At 40.4% G+C, this 10746-nt stretch overlaps 1 annotated feature.

Moving 5' to 3' along the window:
• Positions 1-10746: part of a centromere (Linear centromere model derived predominantly from reads generated in PMID: 17803354. This region does not represent an actual centromere sequence, as long-range ordering of repeats and unmapped WGS contigs is not provided by the model. For details of model production, see http://arxiv.org/abs/1307.0035.) that runs on past both edges of the window.

The raw sequence follows: 10746 nt of genomic DNA on the forward strand, positions 1-10746 counted from the left end.
CGTCTAGACAGAAGCATTCTCAGAAACTTTTCTGTGATGACTGCATTCAACTCACAGAGTTGAACACTCCTTTTGAGAGCGCAGTTTTGAAACTCTCTTTCTGTGGAATCTGCAAGGGGACATGTAGACCTCTTTGAAGGTTTCGTTGGAAACAGAATCATCTTCACAAAAAAATTACACGGAAGCATTCTCAGGAACCCCTTGGTGCTGATTGTATTCAACTTCCAGAGTTGAACTTTCCTTCGGAGAGAGCAGCTATGAAACACTCTTTTTCGAGAATCTGCAAGTGGATATTTGGAGGGCTTTGAGGTTTGTGGTGGAAAAGGAAATATCTTCACATAAATACTAGATGGAAGCATTCTCAGAAACTACTTTGTGATGATTGCATTCACCTCACAGAGTTGAACATTCCTATTGAGAGAGCAGTTTGGAAACACTCTTGTTGGAGAATCTGCAAGTGGAGATTTGGAGCGCTTTGAGGCCTATGGTACTAAAGGGAATAGCTTCATATAAAAACTAGGCAGAAGCATTCTCAGAAAATACTTTGTGATGATTGAGTTGAACTCACAGAGCTGAACATTCCTTTGGATGGAGCAGGTTTGAAACACACTTTTTGTAGAATCTGCAAGTGGATATTTGGACCTCTCTGAGGATTTCGTTGGAAACGGGATAACTGCACCTAACTAAACAGAAGCATTCTCAGAAACTTCTTTGTGATATTTGCATTCAAATCCCAGAGTTGAAACTTCCTTTGATAGGTCAGGTTTGAAACACTCTTTCTGTACGATCTGCAAGTGGATATTTGGACCACTCTGTGGCCTTCGTTCGAAACGGGTACATCTTCACATAACATCTAGACAGAAGCCTTCTCAGAAACTTCTCTGTGATGATTGCATTCAACTCACAGAGTTGAACCCTCCTATAGATATAGCAGTTCTGAATCTCTCTTTTTGTGGAATCTGCAAGTGGATATGTGGACCTCTTTGAAGATGTCTTTGGAAACGGGAATATCTTCACATAAAAATTAAACAGAAGCATTCTCAGAAACTTCTCTCTCATGTTTGCGTTCACCTCACACAGTTTCACATTGCTTTTCATAGAGCAGTTCTGAAACATGCTTTTCGGACTGTCTGCAAGTGGACATTTGGAGAGCTTTCAGGCCTGTGTTGGAAAATGAATTATCGTCACATAGACACTAGAGAGAAGCATTGTCAGGAACTTGTTTGTGATGGTTGCATTCAACTCACAGAGTTGAAGGTTCCTTTTCAACCAGCAGTTTCCAAGCACGCCTTCTGTGGAATCTGCAAGTGGATATTTGGACCTCTTTGAAGATATCGTTGGAAACGGGATAATCTTCACAGAAAAGCTAAACAGAAGCATTCTCAGAAACTCCTTTGTGATGTTTGCATTCAACTCACAGAGTTGAACATTCCTTTTGAGAGACAAGCTTTGAAACACTCTTTCTCTAGAATCTGCAAGTGGATATTTGGAGGGCTTTGAGGCCTGTGGTGGAAAGGGAATTCTCTTCCAGTAAAAACTAGATAGAAGCATTCTCAGAAACTAATTTGTGATGATTGCATTCAAGTCACAGAGTTGAATATTCCCTTTGACAGAGCACTTTGGAAACTCTCGCTGTGTAGAATCTGCAAGTGGAGATATGGACCGCTTTGAGGCCTATGGTAGTAAAGGAAATAGCTTCATAGAAAAACTAGACAGTAGCATTCTCAGAAAACTGTTTGTGACGACTGAGTTTAACTCACAAGGCTGAACATTCCTTTGGATGGAGCAGTTTCGAAACACACTCTTTGTAGAATCTGCAAGTGGATATTTGGGCCTCTCTGAGGATTTCATTGGAAAAGGGATAAACCGCACAGAACTAAACAGAAGCATTCTCAGAACCTTCTTCGTGAGGTTTGCATTCAACTCACAGTGTTGAACCTTTTTTGATAGTTCAGGTTTGAAACACTCTTTTTGTAGAAACTGCAAGTGGATAATTGCACTTCTTTGAGGCCTATCCTACTAAAGGAAATAACTTCTTCATATAAAATCAAGACAGAAGCTTTCTCAGAAAATCCTCTGGGATGATTGAGTGGAACTCACAGAGCTGTACTTTCCTTGGGATGGAGTAGTTTCGAAACACACTTTCTGTAAAATCTGCAAGTGGATATTTGGACCTGTCTGAGGAATTTGTTGGTAACGGGATAATTTCAGCTAACTAAACAGAAGCAGTCTCTGAATTTTCTTTGTGATGTTTGCATTCAAATCCCAGAATTGCACATTCCTTGGAAAGTTCAGGTTTGAAACCCTCATTTTGCAGGATCTACAAGTGGATATTTGGACCACTCTGTGGCCTTCGATCGAAACGGGTATATCTTCACATAACGTCTAGACAGAAGCATTCTCAGAAACTTTTCTGTGATGACTGCATTCAACTCACAGAGTTGAACACTCCTTTTGAGAGCGCAGTTTTGAAACTCTCTTTCTGTGGAATCTGCAAGGGGACATGTAGACCTCTTTGAAGGTTTCGTTGGAAACAGAATCATCTTCACAAAAAAATTACACGGAAGCATTCTCAGGAACCCCTTGGTGCTGATTGTATTCAACTTCCAGAGTTGAACTTTCCTTCGGAGAGAGCAGCTATGAAACACTCTTTTTCTAGAATCTGCAAGTGGATATTTGGAGGGCTTTGAGGCTTGTGGTGGAAAAGGAAATATCTTCACATAAATACTAGATGGAAGCATTCTCAGAAACTACTTTGTGATGATTGCATTCACCTCACAGAGTTGAACATTCCTATTGAGAGAGCAGTTTGGAAACACTCTTGTTGGAGAATCTGCAAGTGGAGATTTGGAGCGCTTTGAGGCCTATGGTACTAAAGGGAATAGCTTCATATAAAAACTAGGCAGAAGCATTCTCAGAAAATACTTTGTGATGATTGAGTTTAACTCACAGAGCTGAACATTCCTTTGGATGGAGCAGGTTTGAAACACACTTTTTGTAGAATCTGCAAGTGGATATTTGGACCTCTCTGAGGATTTCGTTGGAAACGGGATAACTGCACCTAACTAAACAGAAGCATTCTCAGAAACTTCTTTGTGATGTTTGCATTCAAATCCCAGAGTTGAACCTTCCTTTGATAGGTCAGGTTTGAAACACTCTTTCTGTACGATCTGCAAGTGGATATTTGGACCACTCTGTGGCCTTCGTTCGAAACGGGTACATCTTCACATAACATCTAGACAGAAGCCTTCTCAGAAACTTCTCTGTGATGATTGCATTCAACTCACAGAGTTGAACCCTCCTATGGATAGAGCAGTGTTGAAACTCTCTTTTTGTGGAATCTGCAAGTGGATATGTGGACCTCTCCGAAGATGTCTTTGGAAACGGGACTATCTTCACATAAAAACTAAACAGAAGCATTCTCAGAAACTTCTCTGTGATGTTTGTGTTCAACTCCCAGAGTTTCACATTGCTTTTCATAGAGTAGTTCTGAAACATGCTTTTCGTAGTGTCTGCAAGTGGACATTTGGAGCGCTTTCAGGCCTGTGGTGGAAAACGAATTATGGTCACATAAAAACTGGAGAGAAGCATTGTCAGAAACTTCTTTGTGATGATTGCCTTCAACTCACAGAGTTGAAGGTTCCTTTTCAAACAGCAGTTTCCAAACACTCTTTCTGTGGAATCTGCAAGTGGATGTTTGGACCTCTTTGAAGATTTCGTTGGAAACGGGAGAATCTTCACAGAAAAGCTAAACAGAAGCATTCTCAGAAACTTCTTTGTGATGCTTGCATTCAACTCACAGAGTTGAACTTTCCTTTCGAGAGAGAAGCTTTGAAACACTCTTTTTCCAGAATCTGCAAGTGGACATTTGGAGGGCTTTGAGGCTGTGGTGGAAAGGATTATCTTCCCGTAAAGCTAGATAGAAGCATTCTCAGAAACTACTTTGTGATGATTGCATTCAAGTCACAGAGTTGAATATTCCCTTTGACAGAGCACTTTGGAAACTCTCGTTGTGTAGAATCTGCAAGTGGAGATATGGACCGCTTTGAGGCCTATGGTAGTAAAGGAAGTTGCTTCATAGAAAAACTAGACAGTAGCATTCTCAGAAAACTGTTTGTGACGACTGAGTTTAACTCACAAGGCTGAACATTCCTTTGGATGGAGCAGTTTCGAAACACACTCTTTGTAGAATCTGCAAGTGGATATTTGGGCCTCTCTGAGGATTTCATTGGAAAAGGGATAAACCGCACAGAATTAAACAGAAGCATTCTCAGAACCTTCTTCGTGATGTTTGCATTCAACTCACAGTGTTGAACCTTTTTTGATAGTTCAGGTTTGAAACACTCTTTTTGTAGAAACTGCAAGTGGATAATTGCACTTCTTTGAGGCCTATCCTACTAAAGGAAATACCTTCTTCATATAAAATCAAGACAGAAGCTTTCTCAGAAAATCCTGTGGGATGATTGAGTTGAACTCACAGAGCTGTACTTTCCTTGGGATGGAGTTGTTTCGAAACACACTTTCAGTAGAATCTGCAAGTGGATATTTGGACCTGTCTGAGGAATTTGTTGGTAACGGGATAATTTCAGCTAACTAAACAGAAGCACTCTCTGAATTTTCTTTGTGATGTTTGCATTCAAATCCCAGAATTGCACCTTCCTTGGAAAGTTCAGGTTTGAAACCCTCATTTTGCAGGATCTACAAGTGGATATTTGGACCACTCTGTGGCCTTCGTTCGAAACGGGTATATCTTCACATAACGTCTAGACAGAAGCATTCTCAGAAACTTTTCTGTGATGACTGCATTCAACTCACAGAGTTGAACACTCCTTTTGAGAGCGCAGTTTTGAAACTCTCTTTCTGTGGAATCTGCAAGGGGACATGTAGACCTCTTTGAAGGTTTCGTTGGAAACAGAATCATCTTCACAAAAAAATTACACGGAAGCATTCTCAGGAACCCCTTGGTGCTGATTGTATTCAACTTCCAGAGTTGAACTTTCCTTCGGAGAGAGCAGCTACGAATCACTCATTTTCTAGAATCTGCAAGTGGATATTTGGAGGGCTTTGAGGTTTGTGGTGGAAAAGGAAATATCTTCACATAAACACTAGATGGGAGCATTCTCAGAAACTACTTTCTGATGATTGCATTCACCTCACAGAGTTGAACATTCCTATTTAGAGAGCAGTTTGGAAACACTCTTGTTGGAGAATCTGCAAGTGGAGATTTGGAGCGCTTTGAGGCCTATGGTACTAAAGGGAATAGCTTCATATAAAAACTAGACAGAAACATTCTCAGAAAATACTTTTTGATGATTGAGTTTAACTCACAGAGCTGAACATTCCTTTGGATGGAGCAGGTTTGAATCACACTTTTTGTAGAATCTGCAAGTGGATATTTGGACCTCTCTGAGGATTTCGTTGGAAACGGGATAACTGCACCTAACTAAACAGAAGCATTCTCAGAAACTTCTTTGTGATGTTTGCATTCAAATCCCAGAGTTGATCCTTCCTTTGATAGGTCAGGTTTGAAACACTCTTTTTTTACGATCTGCAAGTGGATATTTGGACCACTCTGTGGCCTTCGTTGGAAACGGGTACATCTTCACATTACATCTAGACAGAAGCCTTCTCAGAAACTTCTCTGTGATGATTGCATTCAACTCACAGAGTTGAACCCTCCTATGGATATAGCAGTTCTGAATCTCTCTTTTTGTGGAATCTGCAAGTGGATATGTGGACCTCTTTGAAGATGTCTTTGGAAACGGGAATATCTTCACATAAAAATTAAACAGAAGCATTCTCAGAAACTTCTCTCTCATGTTTGCGTTCAACTCACACAGTTTCACATTGCTTTTCATAGAGCAGTTCTGAAACATGCTTTTCGGACTGTCTGCAAGTGGACATTTGGAGAGCTTTCAGGCCTGTGTTGGAAAATGAATTATCGTCACATAGACACTAGAGAGAAGCATTGTCAGGAACTTGTTTGTGATGGTTGCATTCAACTCACAGAGTTGAAGGTTCCTTTTCAACCAGCAATTTCCAAGCACGCCTTCTGTGGAATCTGCAAGTGGATATTTGGACCTCTTTGAAGATATCGTTGGAAACGGGATAATCTTCACAGAAAAGCTAAACAGAAGCATTCTCAGAAACTCCTTTGTGATGTTTGCATTCAACTCACAGAGTTGAACATTCCTTTTGAGAGACAAGCTTTGAAACACTCTTTCTCTAGAATCTGCAAGTGGATATTTGGAGGGCTTTGAGGCCTGTGGTGGAAAGGGAATTCTCTTCCAGTAAAAACTAGATAGAAGCATTCTCAGAAACTACTTTGTGATGATTGCATTCAAGTCACAGAGTTGAATATTCCCTTTGACAGAGCACTTTGGAAACTCTCGTTGTGTAGAATCTGCAAGTGGAGATATGGACCGCTTTGAGGCCTATGGTAGTAAAGGAAATAGCTTCATAGAAAAACTAGACAGTAGCATTCTCAGAAAACTGTTTGTGACGACTGAGTTTAACTGACAGGGCTGAAGATTCCTTTGGATGGAGCATTTTCGAAACACACTCTTTGTAGAATCTGCAAGTGGATATTTGGGCATCTCTGAGGATTTCGTTGGAAACGGGATAAACTGCAAAGAACTATACAGAAGCATTCTCAGAACCTTCTTCGTGAGGTTTGCATTCAACTCACAGTGTTGAACCTTTCTTTGATAGTTCAGGTTTGAAACACTCTTTTTGTAGAAACTGCAAGTGGATAATTGCACTTCTTTGAGGCCTATCGTAGTAAAGGAAATATCTTCATATAAAAACAAGACAGAAGCTTTCTCAGAAAATCCTCTGGGATGATTGAGTTGAACTCACAGAGCTGTACTTTCCTTGGGATGGAGTAGTTTCGAAACACACTTTCTGTAGAATCTGCAAGTGGATATTTGGACCTGTCTGAGGAATTCGTTGGAAACGGGATAATTTCAGCTAACTAAACAGAAGCAGTCTCTGAATTTTCTTTGTGATGTTTGCATTCAAATCCCAGAATTGCACCTTCCTTGGAAAGTTCAGGTTTGAAACCCTCTTTTTGCAGGATCTACAAGTGGATATTTGGACCACTCTGTGGCCTTCGTTCGAAACGGGTATATCTTCACATAACGTCTAGACCGAAGCATTCTCAGAAACTTTTCTGTGATGACTGCATTCAACTCACAGAGTTGAACACTCCTTTTGAGAGCGCAGTTTTGAAACTCTCTTTCTGTGGAATCTGCAAGGGGACATGTAGACCTCTTTGAAGGTTTCGTTGGAAACAGAATCATCTTCACAAAAAAATTACACGGAAGCATTCTCAGGAACCCCTTGGTGCTGATTGTATTCAACTTCCAGAGTTGAACTTTCCTTCGGAGAGAGCAGCTATGAAACACTCTTTTTCGAGAATCTGCAAGTGGATATTTGGAGGGCTTTGAGGTTTGTGGTGGAAAAGGAAATATCTTCACATAAATACTAGATGGAAGCATTCTCAGAAACTACTTTGTGATGATTGCATTCACCTCACAGAGTTGAACATTCCTATTGAGAGAGCAGTTTGGAAACACTCTTGTTGGAGAATCTGCAAGTGGAGATTGGAGCGCTTTGAGGCTATGGTACTAAAGGGAATAGCTTCATATAAAACTAGGCAGAAGCATTCTCAGAAAATACTTTGTGATGATTGAGTTTAACTGACAGAGCTGAACATTCCTTTGGATGGAGCAGGTTTGAAACACACTTTTTGTAGATCTGCAGTGGATATTTGGACCTCTCTGAGGATTTCGTTGGAAACGGGATAACTGCACCTAACTAAACAGAAGCATTCTCAGAAACTTCTTTGTGATGTTTGCATTCAGATCCCAGAGTTAGACCTTCCTTTGATAGTTCAGGTTTGAATCACTCTTTTTGTAGGATCTGCAAGTGGATATTTGGACCACTCTGTGGCCTTCGTTGGAAACGGGTACAACTTCACATAACATCTAGACAGAAGCCTTCTCAGAAACTTCTCTGTGGTGATTGCGTTCAACTCACAGAGTTGAACGCTCCTATGGATAAAGCAGTTTTGAATCTCTCTTTTTGTGGAATCTGCAAGTGGATATGTGAACCTCTTTGAAGATGTCTTTGGAAACGGGAATATCTTCACATAAAAACTAAACAGAAGCATTCTCAGAAACTTCTCTGTGATGTTTGCGTTCAACTCACAGAGTTTCACATTGCTTTTCATAGAGCAGTTCTGAAACATGCTTTTCGGAATATCTGCAAGTGGACATTTGGAGAGCTTTCAGGCCTGTGGTGGAAAATGAATTATCGTCACATAAAAACTAGAGAGTAGCATTGTCAGAAACTTGTTTGTGATGATTGCATTCAACTCACAGAGTTGAAGGTTCCCTTTCAAACAGCAGTTTCCAAACACACTTTCTGTGGAATCTGCAATTGGATAGTTGGACCTCTTTGAAGATGTCTTTGGAAACGGGATAATCTTCACAGAAAAGCTAAACAGAAACATTGTCAGAAACTTCTTTGTGATGTTTGCATTCTACTCACAGAGTTGAACTTTCCTTTTGAGAGAGAAGCTTTGAAACACTCTTTCTCTAGAATCTGCAAGTGGATATTTGGAGGGCTTTGAGGCCTGTGGTGGAAAAGGAATTAACTTCCCGTAAAAACTAGATAGAAGCATTCTCAGAAACTACTTGGTGATGATTGCATTCAAGTCACAGAGTTGAACATTCCCTTTGACAGAACACTTTGGAAACTCTGGTTGTGTAGAATCTGCAAGTGGAGATATGGACCGCTTTGAGGCCTATGGTAGTAAAGGAAATAGCTTCATATAAAAACTAGACAGTAGCATTCTCAGAAAACTCTTTGTGACGACTGAGTTTAACTCACAGGGCTGAACATTCCTTTGGATGGAGCAGTTTCGAAACACACTACTTGTAGAATCTGCCAGTGGATATTTGGGCCTCTCTGAGGATTTCGCTGGAAACGGGATAAACCGCACAGAAATAAACAGAAGCATTCTCAGAACATTCTTCGTGATGTTTGCGTTCAACTCACAGCGTTGAACCTTTCCTTGATACTTCGGGTTTTGAAACACTCTTTTTGTAGAAACTGCAAGTGGATAATTGCACTTCTTTGAGGCCTATCCTAGTAAAGGAAATAACTTCATATAAAAACAAGACAGAAGCTTTCTCAGAAAATCCTCTGGGATGATTGAGTTGAACTCACAGAGCTGTACTTTCCTTGGGATGGAGTAGTTTCGAAACACACTTTCTGTAGAATCTGCAAGTGGATATTTGGACCTGTCTGAGGAATACGTTGGAAACGGGATAATTTCAGCTAACTAAACAGAAGCAGTCTCAGAATCTTCTTTGTGATGTTTGCATTCGAATCCCAGAGTTGAACCTTCGTTTGAAAGTTCAGGTTTGAAACCCTCTTTTTGCAGGATCTACAAGTGGATATTTGGACCACTCTGTGGCCTTCGTTCGAAACGGGTATATCTTCACATAACATCTAGACAGAAGCATTCTCAGAAACTTTTCTGTGATGACTGCATTCAACTCACAGAGTTGAAGACTCCTTTTGAGAGCGCAGTTTTGAAACTCTCTTTCTGTGGAATCTGCAAGGGGACATGTAGACCTCTTTGAAGGTTTTGTTGGAAACAGAATCATCTTCACATAAAAATTACACAGAAGCGTTCTCAGGAACTCCTTGATGTTGTTTGTATTCAACTTCCAGAGTTGAACTTTCCTTCGGAAAGAGCAGCTATGAAACACTCTTTTTCTAGAATCTGCAAGTGGACATGAGGAGGGCTTTGAGGTCTGTGGTGGAAAAGGTAATATCTTCACATAAATATTAGATAGAAGCATTCTCAGAAACTACTTTGTGATGATTGCATTCACCTCACAGAGTTGAACATTCCTATTGATAGAGCAGTTTGGAAACTTTCTTGTTGTAGAATTTGCAAGGGGAGATTTGGCGCGCTTTGAGGCCAATGGTAGTAAAGGGAATAGCTTCATATAAAAACTAGACAGAAGCATTCTCAGAAAATACTTTGTGATGATTGAGTTTAACTGACAGAGCTGAACATTCCTTTGGATGGAGCAGGTTTGAAACACACTTTTTGTAGAATCTGCAAGTGGATATTTGGACCTCTCTGAGGATTTCGTTGGAAACGGGATAACTGCACCTAACTAAACAGAAGCATTCTCAGAAACTTCTTTGTGATGTTTGCATTCAGATCCCAGTGTTAGACCTTCCTTTGATAGTTCAGGTTTGAATCACTCTTTTTGTAGGATCTGCAAGTGGATATTTGGACCACTCTGTGGCCTTCGTTGGAAACGGGTACAACTTCACATAACATTTAGACAGAAGCCTTCTCAGAAACTTCTCTGTTGTGATTGCGTTCAACTCACAGAGTTGAACGCTCCTATGGATAAAGCAGTTTTGAATCTCTCTTTTTGGGGAATCTGCAAGTGGATATGTGAACCTCTTTGAAGATGTCTTTGGAAACGGGAATATCTTCACATAAAAACTAAACAGAAGCATTCTCAGAAACTTCTCTGTGATGTTTGCGTTCAACTCACAGAGTTTCACATTGCTTTTCATAGAGCAGTTCTGAAACATGCTTTTCCGGAATATCTGCAGTGGACATTTGGAGAGCTTTCAGGCCTGTGGTGGAAAACGAATTATCGTCACATAAAAACTGGAGAGAAGCATTGTCAGAAACTTGTTTGTGAT

The sequence above is a fragment of the Homo sapiens genome, chromosome 17 (genome assembly GCF_000001405.40).
Source record: "Homo sapiens chromosome 17, GRCh38.p14 Primary Assembly".
NCBI lineage: Eukaryota > Metazoa > Chordata > Mammalia > Primates > Hominidae > Homo > Homo sapiens.